Source organism: Homo sapiens, chromosome 12 (genome assembly GCF_000001405.40).
Source record: "Homo sapiens chromosome 12, GRCh38.p14 Primary Assembly".
NCBI lineage: Eukaryota > Metazoa > Chordata > Mammalia > Primates > Hominidae > Homo > Homo sapiens.
Genome location: NC_000012.12, coordinates 74,299,470 through 74,323,080, shown reverse-complemented (window position 1 = coordinate 74,323,080; position 23,611 = coordinate 74,299,470). Strand labels below are relative to the sequence as shown.

The following is a 23,611-nucleotide window of genomic DNA, read 5'->3' as shown; positions in this document are numbered from 1 at the left end:
CATTGAAAAATTTTTAAATGTTTAATGTCCCTTTAAATTTTCTCTTATGCTAATTACATGAACAAAACTTGTGTGCATTTTTCTGCTATGGTCATCATTTTCACGTTGACTTGTTAGGACATTTTACATTTTCAAAATTTATTTTTTTTATATATTGAAAGCATTTTTCCAGATTGTCCTTTTCCTATTTTTTTTTAGAAATTGATGTTCAAGTATTTTATATAAACAAATTATTCATAAATTACTGCCTCTTTCACTTTGTTCATTTTCCTACAGTAAAACTCACAGCAGGATTACATATGTATTCAAAATTTTATCTTGCAGCAATTGTATGGTTTTCTAATATCTATTACGAGGTAGTACTCAGGTTGAGATTTATTTATTTATTTATTTTTGTATCTGCTCCCATGCTTGTTGTTTACATCTATGCCACTTGAATATTTCCTAATTTACCATTATTTGTCGTCTTCATCTGATATTCATTTATGTATGTATTTGGGCATGATGCAAGACAATCTATTTCCAATATAACACTGTTTCAGAACTATAAGTTTTTTTGTTTTTTTTTTTTTTGACAGAGTCTCACTCTGTCACCCAGGCTGGAGTGCAGTGGTGTAATCTCAGCTCACTGCTACCTCTGCCTCCCTGGTTCAAGCAATTCTCCTGCCTGAGCTTCCCAAGTAGCTGGGATTACAGGCATGAGCCACTGTGCCTGACCTAGTAACATAAGTTTTTAATTACCATACTTTATATGTTTTAAAAATTTGGGGGGAAATTATTTTTTAATGTTCTGAAAGTTGCTTAACTCACATTTACTATGTGAGGTAAGCTTTAGAATTAATTTTTTCAGAACCATCAGCCATTACTTTTGGATTTTGATACTGACTACCTTGCATATAATTTCAATTAGATAAAATTGACATCTTTACAACTTTAGGTCTTTCTATATATGAACATTCTGTTAGAGGCAGTAGGCAGACAAATTTCTAGATAGATAGGGGCACGTCCCTGGTGAAACCAGATCTTCAACCCAAAAACAGCCTGAAGCCTGAAAACCAGGTTGCCAGTTCTGGATGGAGTCCACGACCAGAGGGAGAACCTCTATTCCTGTTTGCCAGCTCTTTCCTAGCTGGTTCTTTCTGAATAATGCTTTTTAACCAACGGAATGTTGCCTTTTGCAAGGCACCTACCGCCTGGGCCTCCCCAGTTCTGAGCCTATAAAAACCCTAGACTTAGCTACACATGCCTACCTTCCAGTAGGGACCTGCCTTCCAGTAGGGACTACCCACTTCGGGTTCCCCCTCCTCTGAGAGCTGTTCTGTCTCTCAATAAAATTCTTCCCTGCCTCCCTCACTTTTCGGTTGTCCTCATTCTTCTTGGACACAGAACAAGAACCTGAGACCTGCCGAACAGCAGGTGCCAAAGATGCTGCTGTAACACCACAGCCCTCCCATCTTCCATCCTCCACTGGCGCTGAGTGGCAGTCCCATGTGACAGGAAGTGGAGGCAGAGCTGGGCCAGCCCAGGAGCCACGTGCTGGAGCCAGGTGAGGAGACTGAATGAGCTGGGACATTACCCCTTTTTCCAAAGCATGGAGACGGTGGGAATGAATAAACTGTAAGACATATGAGCTGTGAACCTTCTGGGGCCCAGACCTACTCCATAAGCCAGAGTTGTGATATGCTGTAACCGTATATTTGTACTACACAAATTTGTTGCTCTAAATTGTGCTTCATGTTTTTACTTTGTTTTTACACATATTTTGAGATAATTTCATCCTTAATATTTTTAAATGTTGCATATATTAGAATATTCTGACTTCATACTTGAAGGTCCTGTGACAATGTCTAAAATTCTTGGCACACTAAACTCTTTCCTATTGAAAACATTTATCTTCTTTTGCAACCTGTTGTCAAAAAGATTGCTAAAGAGGAAGCTTTGAAACTATCTCATTTTTTGTACTTTATTACTTGTTCAGAGAATATTAAATTTTTACTTTACCTTGTGAATGTAACTAAATGTAGATCAATTTTCACTAACATTGCTTGCAACTCACTCAGTCCTTTTAGCTCAGGGAAAATCCATTCTAATATAACTTCTGACCACTTATTTTTCATTTAATCTAATCACTTAAAGGAGCAGATGGACAGTAGAATTTTCTTATATATGAACACTTTTCTGATTTGTTTCAATCCCAAATCTCTGAGTCACAAGGCAGACAGACACACAGGAGAGATCAGGGTAAATGTATTTCTCTTTAAAGACTCAGAGATTCAAAATGATGTGTTGAATTTGGGACAGGTCTATCTTAGTCTAGCTCTATATTTTCAGTCAGGTGAAGTGTCTTCAAAATTTTTGTCTTCAGTAGTCCCTCAGCTTTCTATTCTATTTTATTATACATCTTCTTAGGGAGGTTTTCACTATTTTGTTTTTTCCATTTGTTTTAATTTTGCAGTGTTGACTGAGGCTGTCTTTTAAAATGATATTTGAGTATGTTGTCCAAGTACCTTTTTAAAGCAAAACCTATGCATTTTTTTTCCACAAAAGGCAAATTTGGGTTAACAGGCAGAATATGGTATTCAGAGAATTTGTGACAAAGTATAGGCACAGGCAAGTGGTTAAATGTCAGGGACTTTCCAAGAGGGATATCAGAAAATCACCGATAGTCAGGTCATTGGAGCATGACAATGAACAATTTAGGAGCTGTCACTGTTCAGAGATCCACAGAAGTAAGCTAAAAAATAACTGCACGAAGTAACAGGGTGACATATTAGGGGACTAATTGCAGTCTCTAAACTGGTGAGAGAAAAGGGACTGACCAGAAAGAAAGCAGGAGTTCAGGGTGAGGAACTTAAGTGGGAAACTTTGCCCAGGGGACCAGGACCGATCTGCGATTACAGACATGTACCTTCGAACAAAGCAGAAGCATAATTTCTTGATTTGGCCTGTATGGTCACAGCCAGATTGGTAGCAATGACAACTTGTTGCTGACCATCTGGCCGTGAATTAAATCCTTGCTGGCAAGGGAGAATTTTGGGTCTAGAAAGTACAGCAGGGTTAAGCTTAATGTCAAAAAGTCTGGCAAACGAATGGTAGCCAGCTTCTGATGCTGTGAACAACTGGCCCATTTCATAATGTATTCATACTACTTTTTTTTCAGTAGTCTTTAATTATATACTTTAATTAGGAACATTAGAGCTTTCTAGCAATAGGTACTTCTCTTATTATTAAGAATAGCATATCGTATACAGGATATTCTTTGTTCATTGGTAAACATTGCTTATGTTGTCTACATGTCAAAATGTTTATCTCAGCCATTTCGAATGGTGGGGCACATTATTTAAAATCAAGAAATACAGAGTATCTTTAAACTTGAGATATTTCCCTGTTATGCACATTTTAAATTTAAAATGTTGCATTCAAATGAAAAAAGAAATGTGTCAAAATTTGGTAACTGGTATTTTCAATAAATGCCATAATTTTTTATCCTTTTAGAGATCCTGTTATTAAATTAGTCCACCAAAGCATATTTATGACTTATTTATATTGTCTATTCTCAAACTGACACAGATGCAGACATAAACCCTTTCTCATACAACATTACTTTCTGGACATATTTGATAAATGATTTTATAAATAAAAATTTTAAAGTGTCCACTAAATTTTTAGTAATCTAGGATGGAAACCAGAATATTCGATGGGTGGGGTTAGTGATTAGAATATTACTTTTACTTCTACCCCTTAAAGCTCCTATTCTGAGTAAGATGCTGCTTGTCACTTTCCATTTTTGTATCAGCCTGTTGACTTTACAATCTGAAAGCTCTTGATCTTTAATGATCTGTAGCACATCTGTATGCATAATACTGTCTTCCAAACTCCTCAACAATACAAAAACATTAGGCACGTATCACAGAGCTCTTTTAATACATTTTCTACGCAACAATGCTTTTCCCAAATGCAACCCATTTTTGCATAAAAAATAAGATTGTACTGTGTGGAGATAATCAGGTAGTTATGCTGAACTAATGAGCTTTTCTTTTTCTGACAGTACTCTGATATAGTAATTGGAGAATTTAGTTATTCCTTAGATTCAGGAATGATGAGTTCTCTACCTTTGGTTATCATGAAAGATTTCCTTATACTAGAATATCCTGGTCAGGTAAGTGCATTAACAAAGCAACACTCCAATCCATTGATAACATTATATGAAATAATAGGCTGTCTATTCATTTACATAAAATCATTCATTAAAACTGAGATACTTTGCATATAATATAAATTAATTGTGCCCACTTGCCAATGTTACTTTTATTAAATAAATGGATCTGAAACTATGTGTTATTTTTCTTCAAAATCTTTAAAAAGTGGTCACTGGGAAATGATAATACCAGTTAGGATAACTTAACTTTGTTTAGAGGAAATATTTCTTCTAACTTGAAAACACATTTTACGAGTTATATTTTCACAATTTTAGACATTCTGCCTCTCATTCTGTTTGTCTCAGGTCCTGATTATCTTTCAGAATTTAGTCTTGATGCTCTGTGACCATATACATGCTCTTTCTGCACTCTAAAAATAATATTCAATACAAAATACAAAATAGGATATCAAGGGCCTACAAAATTCATTTAGACTAGTAGCATATTTTTTTAGCACATGTGGGCAACATTCTTATGAAAAGATGTTTTATTGTTTCCCCAGTATGACAAAGAAGCTAGTGAGAAAGTGGCAAATCCTCCATGTTTGGCTATTTTACTTTCAAGCTCTGGCCAGTTTCTTACACTGTTGTGGCAATAGCCTTTGGTTTGCTATTTCTTTTCCTTTCTGATGCTCCCTTCTTTTCATAGTTTGCTGTATTCACGGTTGAGGAAATGAAAGCGTCCATACTGCAATTAAGTTAGTTTCTTGCATGTACCCAACATAAGAAAGGCAAGTAAATGACTACTTTTTAAGATAAGCATGTCTTACCTCCGAGTCTATGTTTAGAGATTTTAAAAGTATGGTATTACTTTTTAAATATTTCTAAGACAAGCATACTTGAAAAAATGTTATGCCTTTTTCTAATTCCCTTCCTTTTCTGGCTTGTTTGAGGGAACCCAGACTATAAAACAAAGCTGATGAGAAGCCAAGAAAAGACATGATTAAATTAAAGCAAAATAATGAAAGAACAGAGTCACTTACATATTCAGCAAAAGCCAGCAAAATATATATATATATATATGAACAAAAGAAGAGAGGGGAAAAAAGGAAGGGAGGGAGGGAGGGAGGAAGGAAGGAAGGAAGGAAGGAAGGAGGAAGGAAAAGGAGGGAAGGAAGGAAGAAAAGGAAGGAAGAAAAGGAAGGAAGGAAGGAAATGTTCTCAAACTAAAATGTGTTTTCTGCAAGCTGAGTGAGCAAAACAGAGATTTCTTGCAGCTGTTACATTTGCTCTTAGAGCTGAAGTGGTAAATCAACTCAAGATGATCTGTCAGCCAATCAAGAAATCTTTACGTTTTGGCTGGGTCTTTAGTACAGAGATCTGGGTGGTCACAGGTTGCTTTCCTGTAGGATAATGTTTAATGTACTGTACAGCACATCCTTGAAAACTGGCCAAGACTATCATGGATTTGGCAGACACTTTCTGCAGCTCTGGGTGCCAACAGATGTCTTTGCTAGGTGAAAACAAATAAGAACCAAAATTCTTCCCAGCCTGCTGAAATAAAAGGTTCCTGGGAATTGCTGAGTGTTAAATTGCTGTCCTAAAACCTTTCATTTTGTGCTCTTGTTCTGAGTTGTGTTTTTGTTGCAATTGGCTCCCGGCCTAGGAACTTGGTGTGCTCTGCTGGGTTAACCATGATAAGCAGCTGGTGTGAGGGACCACTCCACAGTGGCTCAGTGGAGTTCAGGATTACCTCTACCACAAGAGGGTAGTATAAATCTTTGAAAGGCAGAGGTGATATTGTGATTCCCATCCCCAATCACTCTTCTGTTTTAACCTGGTCTCTGGCTCTGACTGTTTTACTTTTCCCCTTTCTCTAGAAACTCATACAACTGCCATTCTGAAAGCTTACATTGCTGTGGCACTTTATTAGCTTCAAAACTGTCAAAAAACAATCAGTGTGACTGTCTGCTGTCTGCAGGGGAGGGGGATATTCAACAGTTAGAATCTATATTCATATACTGGTAAACATTTTGAAACTGTCCCCTTAAGACCCATGAATAAGATTATGGAATGTTTTCTTAGTATTCAATGTCTATGTAATAGAAGGAAAAGGGATTAGCTGGAGGCGAATATGCATTCACAAATATTTGTTATTGAAAATTGCAAGAAAACTTGCTCATTCATTTATAAGTATTTTATTGAGATTTTTATTAAACCTCCACTACATACTATACACTAAGGATACAGCAGTAGGCTAGAGAGACCACCCTGCTCTCATGGAGCTTGCACATGAGTGTGAAAGACAAATACCAAGTGAGTTTACAAACAGTTATAAAAGTCTGGTGGTGGTAAGTGTGAAGAAGGAATATGAATCAGGATAAAGAGATGTGGGGAAAAGGGCAGTGTGATTTAGATAAGGTGGGTGAGTAAAGTTCTTAATCAAATACACAGGTGAGTACATATAAATTGAGTGGTATTTATCCATTCATTTAACATGTATTTATTGACTACCTAATATATATAATTTATGTCAGATGTTCTATTTAGCATTTAGTCAATATTATTTACATTCTTCAGGTATCAATTATTGCCACTCTTGCATAGCATAGATTTCAAGATATAAGGTTTTGATATTAAACATCTGTGTTTGCATCTTACTGTAATGTGACCTCTGGTAATTTTTAAAATACTTTTCTGATATATAAAATAATATGTACCATAGAGTTGTCAGGCATATTAATGACATAGCAAGGGAGAAGGGCCAAGCATAATACTTGAAGCACAGTTTATACCTATCAAATGTCAGTTACTGAAATTCTTAAAATCAATGCATAGCCGTATCTTTCAAGTTAAAAATATTAACAGTATAATCATGGGACCCTTTCCGTCCTTAAAAATCTTCCATAATTTAATGGTACCATGTTCAAAATGAACAGTTACAGACTGGAACAGAAAAAAAAAGAAAACTGCCATTGCTTTTCTACAAATGAAAACAAGTTAACTCATAAGCCCCCATTTTCAAAATATTATTCGTTCAAGGTAAATCAACTACAGATGGTCTCTGACTTACCATGGTTCAGCTTACGATTGTTTAATTTTACAATGGTGAGAAAACAATATGCATTCAGTAGAAACTGTACTTCAAATTTTGAATTGTGATATATTCCCAAGCTGAAAATATGTTGTATGATACAATACTCCCTTCTAGTTCTGGGCAGCCAGTGAGCCAAAGCTCCCAGATGGCCAAGAGATCACGATGGTGAACAACTGATAATCTACAGTGTGCTGTGCTGGAAAGTATTTTTTGTTGTGTGTGTTTTTTTTTTTTTTTCTTTGAGATGGGGTCTCACTATGTTTTCCAGGCTGGTCTCAAACTCCTGGGCTGAAACACTCCTTCCCTCAGCCTCATAAATAGCTGGATTACAGGCGTGAGCCTCTGCACCTGGCCAGAAAATGTCTTCAATCATAGATTGCAGAGCTCCACCGCCAGAGTTTGTGATTCAGGAGGTCCTGGGTGGAGCCTGATAACTTGAGTTTCTAACAACTTTCCAGGTGATGCTGATGCTGCTTGTCCACGGACCACTCACCCAGATAAATCGTTATTTTCTTTTGGGCTTGAAAATCATTTTGCTACATTTTTCCTTCTTTGTATTTTATAACATAAAACGTATCTCTCAGTATTTCAAAATCAGCTCTTAGTATTTCAAGTCTAATTTTGCTAGGCTTCCTTTTAGGATTTTTATAGCTTTATGTCTTACATTTAAGTCTTTAATTCATCTTGAGTTAATTTTTGTATATGGTGAGAGATAGGGGTTCCAGTTTTATTCTTCTACATACAGCTTGCCAGTTTTCCCAGCACTGTTTATTGAATAGGATGTCCTTTCTCCAGTGTATGTTTTTGTCAACTTTGCCAAAGATCAGTTGCTTGCAGGCATGTGGCTTTATTTCTGACTTCTCTATTCTGTTCTGTTGATCTATATATCTATTTGTATACCAGTATCATGCTCTTTTGTTTACTATAGCCTTGCAATATAATTTGAAGTCAGATAATGTGATGCCTCCAGCTTTGTTCCTTTTGTTTAGGATTGTTTTGGCTATTCAGGCTGTTTTTTGGTTCCATTTGAATTTTTAGGGTTGTTTGTTTCTAATTCTGTGAAAAACGACATTGATAATTTGATAGGAGTGGCATTGAATTTGAGGATTACTTTTGGTAGTATGGTCCTTTTGATGATGTTAACTTTTCCAATTCATGAGCATGGGGTGTTTTTCCATTTGTTTGTGTCATCTCTGATTTCTTTAATCAGTGTTTTATAGCTCTCCTTGTAGAGATCTTTCATCTCCTTGGTTAAATGTATTCCTAGGTTTTTTTTTGTAGCTATTGTAAATGGGATTGAGTTCTTGATTTTTTTCACAGCTTGATCATTATTGGTGTATAGAAATGCTATGGATTTTTGTACGTTGGTTTTGTATGCTGAAACTTTGCTGAAGTCATTTATTAAATGCAATATTCTTTTTGAGGAATCTTTAGAGTTTTCTAGGTATAAGATGATATCATCAATGAATAAAGATAATTTGAATTTCTCTTTTCCAATCTAAATACTTTCTGTTTCTTTCTCTTGCCTGATTGCTCTAGCTGGGACTTCCAGTACCAGGTTGAATGGGAGTGGTGAAAGTAGGTATTCTTATCTTGTTCTGGTTCTTAGGGGAATGATTTCAAATTTTGCCTGTTCAGAATGATGTTGGATGTGAGTTTGTCATAGATAGCTTTTATTATTTTGAAGTATGTTTGTTCAATGCCTCCTTTTTGGGGATTTTTGTCATGCAGAGATACTGGATTTTATTGAATGCTTTCTCTGCATCTATTGAGATAATCATACAGCTTTTGTTTTTAATTCTATTTATGTGGTGAATCACATTTATTGATCTGTATATTTTGAAGCATCTTTCCATTGCTGGAATAAAACTTTGCTGTATTATCTTTCTGATGTACTGTTGGATTCAATTTGCTAGTTTTTTGTTGAGGATTTTTGCGTCTATGTTTATCATGATATTGGTCTCTGGTTTTCTTTTTTGTTGTATCATTGCCTGGCTTTGGAATCAGGGTAATGCTGGCTTCATAGAATCAGATAAGGAGAATTCCCTCCTCCTCGATTTTTTGGAACAGTTTCAGTAAGATTAATACAATTGGCCTAGGCAAAGAATTTATGGCAAAGTTCTCAAAAGCGAACACAACAGAAACAAAAATAGGCAAATGGGACTTCATTAACTAAAAAGCTTCTGCACAGCAAAAGAAATAATAATAAACAGAAAATCTACAGAATGGAAGAAAATATTTGAAAACTATTCATTAGACAATTCTGGCTAATATCCAGAGCTATAAGGAACTCAAACAACACAACAAGAAAATTCAAATGACTCCACTAAAAAGTGGGCAAAGAACATGAAACAGACATTTTTTTAAAAAAACATACAAGCGGCAACAAACATATGAAAAAATGTTCAATATCACTAATCATCAGAGAAATGCAAATTAAAACCACATTAAGATACTGTCTTACACCAGTCAGAATGGCTATTATTTAAAAATTAAAAACAACAGATGTTGATGAGGATGTGGAGAAAAGGGAACATTTACACATTATTGGTAGGAATATAAATTAGTTCAACCTCTATAGAAAACAGAATGGAGATATCTCAAAGAACTAAAAATAGAACTACTGAGTATCTACCCAAAGGAAAAGAAATCAATATATGAAGTGACACCTGCACTCATATCTTTATTGCAACACTATTCACAAAAGCAAAGACATGGAACCAACCTAAGTAAGTGTCCATTAATGAATGATTGAATAAAGAAAATGTGGTGTGTATACATACACACACTGAATATGTTATATTATATATATACTGAATGCGATATATATATGCATATTTATATGCATACGCATATGTATAGAGAGAGACACACACACACTGTGGAATACTACTCAGCCATAAAAAGAATGACATCATGTCTTTTGCAACAACATAGATGGAACTAGAGGCCATTATGTTAAGTGAAATAACTCGGAAACAGAAAGTCAAATACAGTACGTTTTCTTAAAGTGTGTGCTAGACAATGTCTATATATGAATATACAGAGTGGAATAATAGACACTGGAGACTCCAAAAGGTGAGAGATAGGGCAAGGGATGAGAAATTATCTATTGGGTACAATTTACACTATTTGGGTAATGGTTACACTAACAGCCCAGATTCCAGCACTATGCAATATAGGTAGGTCTTTTAGAATTTTAAGAAAACGTTTTATCTTTCACCAAAGCTTAGTTCTTTTTTTTTTTTTTTTTTTTTTTTTTTGAGACAAGTCTCGCTCAGCTGTCACCTAGCCTGGAGTACAGTGGCGCAATCTCGGCTCACTGCAAGCTCCGCCTCCCAGGTTCAAGCCATTCTCCTGCCTCAGCCTCCCGAGTAGCTGGGACTACAGGCGCCCGCCACCACGCCTGGCTAATATTTTTGTATTTTTAGTAGAGACAGGGTTTCACCGTGTTAGCCAGGAGGGTCTCGATCTACTGACCTCGTGATCTGCCCGCCTCGGCCTCCCAAAGTGCTGGGATTACAGGCGTGAGCCACCGCGCCCGGCCACCAAAGCCTAGTTCTTACAAAACTAGTGTTTTGTCTTTCAGACAGTGGTTTACTCCTTTTTCCTTACTGTGTTTGCATTTGCTTCAAAGATGAATGAAATAAAATACCAAGAGGTGGAACTATGTTTCAGAAATAATTTCAAATGTAGACTTCTAATTTTTTTCCACTGTGGTCCAAGAAGATACTTGATATAATTTTGATATTTTTGAATTTATTGAAACTTTGTAGCCAAGCATATGGTGTATTTTGGGGGATATTCCATGCATAGATGAGAAAAATGTATATTGTGCCACTGTTAGATAGAATATTTTTGTAAATGGCTATTAGCTCCGTCTAGAGTCCCATTCAAGTCCAGAGATTTTTTGTTGATTTTCTGATTCAATCAAATGTACTTTTCCATTTGGAAGAAAAATAAATCTGCATGTATTGAAAAGTATCTCCTGTTTAAGTATTTTCTATTTTGGCCTTATGATTGCTAAATATGATTTAGGCACATGAGAGTCTTTCAAACTCTGGAGGTATCATACTGTTTTGCAATTATGTTCTGTTAAATAACGCTTAGGCAGATTACAAGTACTTAGCTAAATTAATATGAGCAACCGTTTATAATCTGTTATATTTCGCTTATGGTAATTTTTAAGAGTTTATGTTGGATGCACAAATAAGCTAGCTGAACCTGCTAAATGAAAGTGTATGCACTTAATCCTTTTTCTCATACTGCATTTAAATTACACCATAAGAATTGTTCTTTTTATAGCATGTTCTTAAGAGCCTAACTGAATACCTTTGCCATTAAGGACAATATTATACATAAATACATACCTACAGACAGGCACATATACATATACATACACTCATACATTTTTTAAACTGTGATGAGACTAAACTAGATACAGCACATGTATACAAGAGCTTGCTAATATAATTTCTATGACTAAAACAAACTCTCACTCAAATTTTGATTTTCCTGGCTTCAGGCAGACTAGACAATGTACTTTTCATATGATTTTAATCATGTTTTTTCAAGTAGTCTTAAATTGAACTGGGGCTGAGGTATAAGATCTCTATTTTGATTACTGGAATTTGGGCATGAAATTGTAGTTGCTATTTTTTGTGGTTTGTATGGTTGGTTGTTTTGGAGACAGGGTCATTTCATTATATTGCTTAAGTCCATGGGATGGTTTTCCCATAAGGGTGTGCATGGCATTTACACCTTTATGGCATGCAAACATAATTATCATACTTTAATATTTGAAACTGATGGTGATAGTGGAGGAAGAGACTGAAAAGACCAGAACCTGTTATGAAGCAGGCAGTTATTGGAAGCTGCTCTTTAGCAAGTGAGGTTTCTGCTTTCAGACATGCCTTTGTGTTTGAAGCTCTACCTTTTTTCTATTAGTCTCTGTAATGTAGTCCTACAGAGACATTTTTTTTTCCAAAATGGTATCAACCCATCGCAGATTTCTAGCTGCCAGCTGCCTGCTGCTATTTCTGTTTATTTCAAATAATCAACAACTCTTTTTAAATTTCTACAGGCTGAGTTTCTGTGGTCCAGTCTTTCTTTTGGCTAAAAAATATATTGGCTTCACATGAGAGCATGTCTACTAACCATGGCTGTAAAAGTAATTGATGCATTCTAGTCCAGGATCTTGATAATTTCAAGTGTATTTTGCTAATTGAAGACAACATTAACACAGTGCTTGACAATAAATCATGTCTGAATACTGAACAAAGGAAATGATAGTGTTTAAAGGTTCTCTAAGCTCTGAGCATACATTATTAATCTTAAATTGTTTTCATTTTCATTTCTTCCCCGGGTGTCATTCATATGGGAGACCTAATATTTTGCCTACCCAGCAACCATTTAGGTTTTATTTGGTAAAAGAAGCTTTACTTTTGGGGAAGAGATAATTCTTTCCTCAATCTTAGTCCATGTGATTTGAGAGAGTTTGGCTCAACTTTGAGCTTTAGGAATAGATGTAACCCCAGTGTGGCCATTCAGGGCACTTTAAGCTTCTCAATGACTCATTACCTCAGTTGAACCAGTGAGATCCTTACATATGAGTTTGTTAAAACTCAATAAAAAGAATGTTTGTTTGTTTGTTGTATGTTCTCAAAAAGAAATTTTTACCTGATCCAATATCATCTTGCTGTCACTGGTTGTCACTTGGCACTACTTGTGTTTGAGAATAACTGACTAAAAATAAAGTCAACAAAGATAAAAGCAAATCGGTAGTGAAGACTTACCTTGTGAGCTATTCTTGACTATCTCATTTGAACACATATATCATGTCATACCTAAAACTGTTTCTATGCTTGAACTTCTCTGTTATGCCTGCCAAATACTCCTTCTCTTTATTTTTGTTTGGAACAGTCTGCATTGGGTTACTGCTCCCCACAACTAAATTGTATTATAGAGTGCATTGATTAATATAGCATCCTTAGCTCCTAACACTGGTATTGATACTTACAAAAAAAAGCATGATAGAACCATAAACTCTAGGATAAAGCAAATCATTTATTATGTGATAAGTTAGTAAACACTGTTTTACTGACATTAACACCTATCATTTTACTTCCATGGCTACAAAGAAACATTTGATGTAATATGTACTCATATATGAAAGTGTTTTGCTCTTCCTTATCTTTCTTTCCATTTTTGATTTTTCTCCTGAGTTTACTCTCAGTATAATGTGGCTACTTTTGTTTTATAATATTTAGTGATATTTTCTTTTATGAAGCCAATCCATAAATAGGGTGCTTATGTATCCATATAACACAGTATAATGGAGACTGATGATGAACTATGGAGGTAACAGAATACAATGACAGCTCTAAGCCCTATAGGTCAGGAGAGAGTTGCTGCCAAGTGTAGGATTTGCCCAGCAAGACCTTGGTTTTCAGGATGATTGTCATTTCATTGTATTATACTGGGCCTTTAAACAATCCATAATTTATTGCATGTCTTCTGGAATGTGTGCTTCCAGGACAGAGTCAGCAATGTACTGACTTTCCTAAATAACTTTATCAAGGTCTTCAATGTATGCCTGTAAAAGCCAGGAGTAGAAGGGTTTTCTATACTTTCCAAACTCTAGATACAAGGCTTTTGTTTCATGCCTGATCAGTGTAGAATATGAGGGCTGGAATGTCACTTTTACCTCCAGGACTTTAGCTTCACAAATACACTCAGGGACTCAGACTTTTGCTGACTATAATATTTTCCCAATATGTAGAGACAGTTTTTAAGATCTTGGACTGCTCTGAATTGTAATAAACATATATCTTAACCCTGGTTCTCCTGCCTATCATCTGGGAGCCCTTGGGATGTGGTCAGTTTCCTCCCTTGTAATAAGGAAAAATCTTAATGAACTATTTTCTAGGATGCTGGTTATTGAATGAGATAATCCTGATTTGTCCTTAAAATTTGATTTAAGTATTAGTGTAAGTATTATAGTCAAATGTTAAAATAGCAATGTAAAAAATAAGTTCAATTCTCAAGTAAACATTTGTTTTACTAATAATTTCTAAGATGTGTGATTTATTCAAAAATATTCTCTGACCCATATATGCTATATCATGAAATTATTTGGCTGAATAGACTCCTTGATTTATATGTTCTACCTGGCTTCTTCCATCCTCTTAGCTATATGAATATATTGTAAGCATATAATTGGCCATGTGTTTGTACTTGCATTCAGTGCCCAGAGAGGTCACATACATGAAATTGTCCCCATGAGGGAAGAGTAGCAAAGACCCTTGAGATAAATGAATCACCCAGAGCAAAGGAAAGATGCTCTTCTCTGGAATTCAACATAGTCATGGAGTCACAGCACACAAGAAGTGATCTATCAGTACTGCCTCAAGGTCACAATTTCCAATTCAGAGAATCACCCAAGAGAGGGGTTCAGAATTAGTAAGTGCTTCTGGGACTGCAGCAGAAAGCAGTGCAGGAAGAAACACCATTTATAAAAGTGAAGAAGCTACAATGAATACTAAATTTTTTTCTCCTTTCTTTGCAAGTGACAAAACAAGAAAGCACTCACTTACCTGACATCACATGAAATGAGAAGTGATAGTAATTATGACTTATTAAAACTATTGTAAATCATTACCATTGGTGACAATGATAAGCACAATTATGTAGGACAGAAGAGATAGTTGAACAAACAAACAAACAAACAAAAAGACACTCTAAAAGGACATAAAAGAGAGAAACCCAAGACAATAGATTTATTTTCTTAAAGAGTAGAGAGAAAAATAAATGACACCTGGAGTTATGGACTGAATGTTTGTGTCCGCCCAAATTCATATGCTGAAGCCCTAGCCCCAGTTTGATGGATTAAGGAGGTAGGGCCTTTGGGAGGTAATTAGGTTTAGATGAGATCTTAAGAGTAGATGACAGTGATAAGATTAGTGTCCGTACAAGAAGAGAGAACTGTGAGAAATCCATGTCTGTTGTTCAAGACAACCAGTCTATGTGATTTTGCTATGGCAGCCCACACTGACTAACTGGATGAGATACAAGGTTAAAATTTTAGTGTTCAGGAGTTTTATGAAACATATTTTATATAAGTTTTATAAAACCATATTTAAGTACCCTCACTAGAACACGTTTGTATTTTATCTGGAACATAACTGTATTTGTTTATAAATAAATAATATTAAAACTAATATTAATAAGGTTAATAGTAATCGTTTACCTTTATATATGACTTCTAGTTTTGTCATTAACTCTTACTATAATGATTTTAGTAAGTCCTAGAGAGAATCAGGCTTGTCAAGACTACAAAGCAAATAGGATATAATTGGCACAAGAATTTATATTTTTTCTAAATGCTCGATCAAGGTTTTATTACAATTTCTACTTTGTTCTGAAATCGGCTAAGTTTATAAAATCTCCATTAAGCTTATGGACAAAATTTTATTGTTTAGCTAAGTGGCATTATAATTTTTCTCTTTTTTTCCCAATTGTTCAAGTTAGGAAACTTAGAACAAAATTATCCTTCATTGTTTTAACACTGGACTTAAAATTCTTTTTCAGTATATCAACAAATACACTAAAATAAAGTTCTCTCTAATTACTTCATATATATCTTAGCTTTTTATTAGTTTATATTTTTCTGCTATGTATTATTCTTCTTCAAATGCATGATCCTACTATTATTTTCATTAGAACTCATCTCTTTCTAATCTGAATAATTTCTCCAGCTGTCCAGATCCATCTGTATTTTTGATCAAACTGATTTATTATCTCTCGCTTCTAACATTTTATTATTATAGATTTGGATGTGCACTCATTCACATTTTCCACTGACTGCTTATTGATTGTGTTGAGTAATTTCAAAGCACATTCTGATCTCCAGGAGCCTTCCTTGATACTTCTATCTTCCAATGAGGCATAAAATAATTGCAGTTTTCTGTTTGCCAGGCTAATTTGTATATTCTTACTGGCCATTATTTATATATAATAAAACATTAATGAAACTTCTGTTTTTCAAAACTCAACTTTTAGAAAAAAGAAGAAATGATAAAACAGTAACTAGAAAGTATGGGGTTTTCTAAAAACTGACACAGTAATTGTATAGGCATATCTCCTTTTATTATGCTGTGCTTTATCGCTTCTTGCAGATACTCTGTTTTTCTACAAATGGAAAGTTTGTGGCATCCTTGACTCAAGCAAATTTTTCAGCACCATTTTTCAAGAGCGTGTGCTCACTTCACCTCTCTGTATCGTGTTTTGGTAAGTCTCACAATATTCCAAACTTTTCCATTGTTATTGTACCTGTTATAGTGATCTGTGATAAGGTAACTTTTATGCTACTATTGTAATATTTGAGGGCACCATAAACCAAACCCATATAAGACATATAAGACATATCTATTAAGTAAACTTCATAGATAAATGTTTTGTGTGTTCTGACTGCTCCACTAACTGTCTCTTTCATTCTCTTCGGGCCTCCTATTCCCGAGACACAACAATATTGAAAGTAGGCCAATTAATAACACTACAAGGGCCTCTAAGTGTTCAAGTGAAAGGAAGAGTCACACATCTCTCACTTTAAATCAAAAGCTAGAAATGATTAATCTTAGTGAGGAAGGTATGTTGAAAGCCAAGACAAGCTGAAAGCTGGACCTCTTGCTTGAAACAGTTAACCAACCTGTGAATGCAAAGGAAAAGTTATTGAAGGAAATTAAAAATGCTACTCCAATTAACACAAAAATGAACATAGAAACTAAAACAGCCTTATTACTGATATAGAAAAAGTTTTAGCGATCTGGAAAGATCAAACCAGTCACAACATTCCATAAAGCCAAAGCCTAAACCAGAGCAAGGCCCTCTTTTATTTCATAAAGGCAGAGTGAGGTCCGAAAGCTGCAGAAAAAAAAAAAGGTTCATGAAGTTTAAGGAAAGACGCCATCTCCACAACACAAAAGTGCAAAATGAAGCATTACGCGCTGATGGAGAAACTCCAGCAAGTTATCCAGATGGAGTTAAGGCAACTCAGGAAGGTGGCCACACTAAACAACATATTTTCAATACAGACAAAGCAGTTTTATATCAGAATAAGATGCTATCTGAGACTTTCATAGATATAGAGAAGGAAAAGTCAATGCTTGTCTTGATCTATGTAGCAAACTTTCATAGCTACATTGACAAATTTTAAATGTTAAGACTTAGATACAACAATATCTTCAGGCATTCTATTTGGAAAATATACTACAGACCCTATAGGAAATGAAGATAATTGGTCCTGCTAATTTCAGATGGAGAATGCAACCTCAGGCAACCTTTCATCCCCTATCTCCAGACAACACAAATGTATCCAGGGAGAATAATCAGTACATATTTTTTAGGCAAATGAAAAATATGGAGACGTAAGTCTCCCTCTTTTTATGATCAGATAAAATCAGCTTACCTGTTTAACTTAAATTTTAATTTCCAGTTCATATAATGCAGGTTTTAAATACAAAATTTTCTAAATATTTTTGCTGATACGTAAAACACCAGCACGTAATTCCTTCTACCTTACATTTAAGAAAGGTTCTATCTAAATGAACTCCGTGGCAGTGAAGGTATTTATATTCTAAAGCTATTTTTTCTAATTAAGAAGCAGATGATGTAGCAGTCTTTGCCTTTCTCACGGCCAAACTCAGCATTTTACTGGGGTGTGCCTTTCAAAAGGAACACTGCCTTTTCTTCCTCTACTATATCGGTTGCTGCTTCCTACATACTACTGTATTTCCTAAGAATATATTAAGACAGTGCCCCAAATTCATAGTCTTTGATATTGGTCCTTCATCCTTATTGCCTATTCCTACGCAATTTTAAATTTTAGCTATGATCAAGTAACTTGATCAGATTTTTAAGGGACTTTATTAATTGGGCCTTGTTTGGAATGAACATATAATCATTCCACGTACATAAAACCCAAAATAAAACATCAAGTGTTTATTTGTACTTCAATAAGCATAAACATGGAGTGGTTCAGAGATGTTAAAGGAAGCATTTATTAAATGAAAATAGCATAAAAAATAAGAAGAAAAACTAATATATGTTGGTTAGCATATAAGGAATTAGAATAGGAAGAGAAGTTAAAAGGATATCAAAAGTTTCAATTATAACATAGAAGTTCTACTGTGGATTATCTTGATTAAATTATGTAACCAAAGCAATCTCTTGTTACCTCATTTTAAAGATGACAATTATAAATACTAAATTGTTCCTGAGATTTAATTTAAAAAGCAGATCTAAAACTATCACTTGTTCATAATGATAGGTGACCATAAAATGTTAGCTGTGTTAATTCCTTCTTTCCCTGGGGCAGTACTTAGTGAATGCTTCTTTAACTATTTGGATGTATAAGTTAAAATATTATAGGAAGGAGCATGATGCAAAGATGAAGTGACACAGATTTCAAAAAACAAGGAACACATGGTTAAGCTTATCATCTCCAGAGAGGAAATCTATAGTATAATAATTCACTGGATAGGTGGACCTCATTAGTTTAATGGAAACATGGCAACAGATATCCAATAAAACCATTTAGCCAGGCATGGTATAACACTAGCCAATCTTAGATTGCTATTGGGTTACCCAAATTTTATTTTTGAAAAGGAGGCTTATGTGTGTATTATATGTACATATTTATATTTTAAGTTCTTTAAAATGTTGATGCCTCTTAACATTGTCATAGGCCAAGCAGTAGAAGCGATTACCTATGCTTTGGGGACCTTAGCTGTCATTTCTTATGAACATAGCTGGACAATGTAGGGTAAGCAAAATTTTATCTCTACCTTCTTAGAGTTTTGGCTGGGCCTGAGAATTAAATTGATATAAGACAAATTAACAGGAGAAGAGCATAAACATGTATTTCACGTAAGTGTTAAATGACATGAGAGCTTTCATGAAAAACTGAAGACTCAAAGAAGTGGCCAAATCTACATGTTTTTATACTAGGTTGAACAAAGAGAGGCAATTATGTAAAAGTAGCTAAACCCTGTGCAGAGGCTAAAGGAAGATAATAATTATTTTAATAAAGTCCATTTGTACAGTGAAAGGGGAGGGTCAGAGTGCTCTTCTTGCATCTGTGGTATTTATAATTTGCCTTTAGCTCAAAATAGTCTTTATGCCAAAGTGGCATATTTTGGGGTGGCATATTCTGCCACCCTTCAATAGCCGTAACCCCTTGCTTTATATCAACAGGGCATTTAAGAACCATTTGAGAAAAAGGTATATGGTTTATCATTGTTGTCAAAAGATATTCCATAATATCTTCTGAAAAGTCCAAGAGAACAACAAAATTAAGTCTGCAGAATGGCAGTAATTGACATGGAAAAATATCTTGGTGACAAAACTAAAGTATTTCTGAAGGTAATCCTGTATCATTTTATTATTAATACTATTGAAGTTCACAAGGGATATGTTATACTGAGGTAAAATAAAAAGATTGACAATTCTGGTGATTCCAAAGAGCCAGACTAAATCGAACATATTTTAGGAGTACTTTAACCAAAATATATCTCTTGTATGTCCTTTTTAAATGTATATACAAGAGTGATACATTTTTAAATGCAAGTCTAAATTGAGTCCAAAAATATTTTTTCCATAGTATAAAAAGTAAGAAAATACTGAGATACATTTTAATTTACAGTGTGTTCTTAATGATAATTAAAACAATAGTGTGTCATAAAATTGATCTTGTCTTGGGTTTAATGAAATACAGTAGTTGCTCAGAAACTATAAAATCGTGATCTAGCATGTATCCTAGGATGAGCGTTGTTATAGACATTTTAGATTTTTTCCTTTTCTTTTCTTTCTAGTTCAGGTATAACAGCCAATAGACCCCCACTGCAGATGCCATACAAAGTTACAAGTATTACATTTTGGGACATGACAGCATGAAAGAATGAACAGAGAACACATTTAAGTAAAATTAAGAGAAACGTGGAGGGGTTCAGCTCTTAAATGAGGTGTAATTGTGGGATTATAGTTGATCCATTTGGTATCGATATTTGATGCTTTATGGCCATGTATTCTCTTTGGAAAGCATGGCTGGATTAGCCATATTATATTTGTTCAAATAAAAATAGGCAAGATAATTCTTTTTGCAGTCTGGGAAAATGCAAAGTCTACCTAAGAGGCAAAGGCTTTTTTATTCTAAAAAATATATGTACCATTCTCACTTTTGAGAACTTTTAAAGTAATATATTTTAAAAGTTTAGTAGGAAGATAGAAAGTAGAAAAAAAAAGTGAAGAAAATGATTTACATTGAGCCAAGCATAGAGATTAAATGAAAACACAGAACTACTTAAGTCCAAATTTGTGCAATTGTGGCCTCCATTTTGCACCTGCACTGTGTGGGCATAATTTAAATGAAATAACATCTGGCATGTTGTAAGTGTAGTCATCAACAATTGCAGAAGCATTTAAGTTGTGACTGCACTTATGGGGAAAAAAGAGAGAAAACGCAATTAAGAAGACGTGAGTCTAAGATAGGATTAAACTCACAATTTCTACATAACTCATTCTTTAGACTCCAGAGGCCAAAGCCCCAAGCTGAAGAGAATCTCACAGAGTATCAGAAGTTCTGAAGCAAGTAGTTCAATCATGGAGTGGTGGAAAGAGAGTGGGCTTTGGAGGTGATTAGAATGGGTTACACAGCTCAGCCTCACCACTTCCTAGGGGTAGGGAGTTGAACCAATTAAACGTTTTGCATCATATGTCTCTCAGTTGTAAAATGAGAATAATAAAAACCACATGAGTTTACAGTGAGAATTACAGTAGAGTGTGATAAAGTAGGAGGCACCATGAATGGCAGCATCCTTTCTCAACTCTCGTTATTTCTTATATTTCTGTCCCTATATTTTATATAACAATGATATTTTTATGTATTTAAATTGACTCTATGTGTCTCAATTTGACTTATAAATTCACCTACCTCATACCCCAGGGATTGGGGAATCATTTATTCATTCTAAACCATGTATAGAAAACCTCTTATGTGTAAATTAATAGGCCAGATCCTGGAATTAAAATTGTGAGCATGAAGAGACATGCTCCCTTGGTTCATATAATCTACTGGGTGACACAGACATTAATCAACTGTACATAAAAAGTAAAGTGACATTACAAATGTGATATGCACCATGGATGAGGGATATACCTTGTGATATAAAAGGGTGCAGGAGTCAAATAAGTCAGGAAAGTATTTAGTGAACCACAGGAGAAAGAAAAAATATCTAGGCAAAAATGTGAGGAAAAAACCTAAAGACAAGTAAAAAACCTAAAAAACAAAACACAAAAAAATCCCTGAGACCTTTTTTGGCAGAAAGGAGCAATGTATATGAAATAAAAAGAAAATGTTTGGTATTAAAGTAAAGATGAAACAGATAACTGAAAAATTTATAGAGGTCTGTATCAGGTAATGTGGAATGAACAGTAGGGTTGTCTATAGAGGGTTGAAGCCATGAATTATGTTCAAAATATGCTTGAAATTATATAACAATGGAAGTATTCGTTAAAATGCAAATTGTGCCCATAATGGACATTTTGACTGGCAGTCAGATAAATTTAATTTGCAATGACATTTCTTTGAAATGCAAGCTCTAACTTTGGGAGAGATATAATGTACAATGTATAAGTGGGAACAGTAGAGTTTGGCATGACAGATGTTCACACATACATTCTTCTTCCTCTTGATCACTTCTAATTTTTCCCTGTATTTAGTTCATTTCATGTCAGAAAGTGGAGTTTCAATTCAATTTTAATCTGGATTAGACTACTATTTCTGAGATAGATTGCACAAATACAGTAGTACAGCTAATTAGATAGATAGATAGATAGATAAATTTAGATGGTAGGATGGACAATGCAATTGCATTGATGTAAGATAAATGCAGTTGTAGAGCAGTCCAAAACTTGAGTCTGAGTATGGATTTTTTTTGAGGTTGCAAATCCTAAGGGAAATATAAAAATGTGATTGTACCTTAAGTCTCTGGGATGGACACCATAAATTAGACAAATAATACAGAGCATGTTTTTATTAAGTTAAAATTTTATTCTAAACTATTTATCAGTCTCAACATATTCTGCTTATATATTAGTGAAGTAAGTCATATATCTACATATTAATAGGAATAAATTCTCTAAAACACTGTCAATAATACAAACAGCATCTAATAGGAAACTCAACTATTTAACAATACTAACAGTAATACAAAATTAATATTTTTGTAAATTCACTGGATTTTTACAAAAAACTTCAGATAAATATTATTACTCTTCAGATAAATATTATTACTCTGATACTGCAAATGATGAAACTGAGATCCTGAATATTTAGCTTGGGTAAACAAAGACACAAAGCCATAGGGCTAGGCATATAGTAATTTTATGAGAAATATTTGTTGAATTAATAAACCCATGGACTATCCAAAGAGAAAACCTAGGTCTCCAGAACTTGTCTCACTATATAACAAACAGAACCATTGGATAGTATAAAACATACTTAGAAGCCAGAGCTACATTTTCTTTCATTTAATCATTGGTTTATGTATTCATCCACTCACTCATCTATTCATTCTGTTATTATTCATAAATTTGTTGATAGCACATTATCTCTGAGAAATTTTGTTAGGTATAAAGATGCATCAATACATGAAACAATCATGTCCTCAGTCTTCACAGAGTGTGTAGTTTATCAGAGAATATAGACAATTATACAAGTAATTTCCATGCAGTTAACACAGGAAAAGTAAAGAATGCAAGGGAATCAGAAAGTAGGGCATACTAATCTGTGGCTGGGAAAGGGAGACAGTAAAAAAACCTCAGAAGTGAATTTAAGCCAAGTCCTTACCTAAGAATGGGAATTAGCCAAGTGAAGGCAGACAGAATTTGGAAAAAGTGGGAGAACAGTGCATGCAAAATAACTGCATGTAGAGAGGAAGCTTATAGGCTAGAAAAAAATAGTTCAATATGGATGAAAGATAGAGTGCAAGATGGAGTGTGAAAAGACATGAAAATAGAAAGAAAAGTAAGGGCCAGAAGATGGAGAGCCTAGTATACCACGTTAAGACGCTGGATGCATCCTCAAAGCAATGGTTTGTTTTGAAATAGAGGATTGGTTAAGCAGAGGAACATCAAGATCAGAGATGCATTTTTGTTTGTCTTTTTAAAGATCCTTTTACAGAGATCTTATATAGACAAAATTTTAGAAAAAAACAGAAAAGCCAGAATGATATGTGGATATCAATTGATTTTAGTGGTATTGGAGAAAATTAAATAATTAGGAGGCATGTTTAAAGACATCTACAAAGCATCCTAATTAA

At 34.5% G+C, this 23,611-nt stretch overlaps 1 long non-coding RNA gene across 1 annotated transcript in view; it reads left to right on the top strand.

Annotated features, from left to right (window-relative positions):
• Nucleotides 1-16,715, top strand: part of LOC107987178 (uncharacterized) — a 34,970-nt gene extending 18,255 nt beyond the window's left edge. The window contains exons 2-3 of the long non-coding RNA XR_001749203.3: nucleotides 1,387-1,546; nucleotides 16,412-16,715. This is a non-coding gene — a long non-coding RNA (uncharacterized LOC107987178). The remainder of the gene's footprint in view (nucleotides 1-1,386; nucleotides 1,547-16,411) is intronic.
• The last annotated feature ends 6,896 nt before the right edge of the window (nucleotides 16,716-23,611 follow it).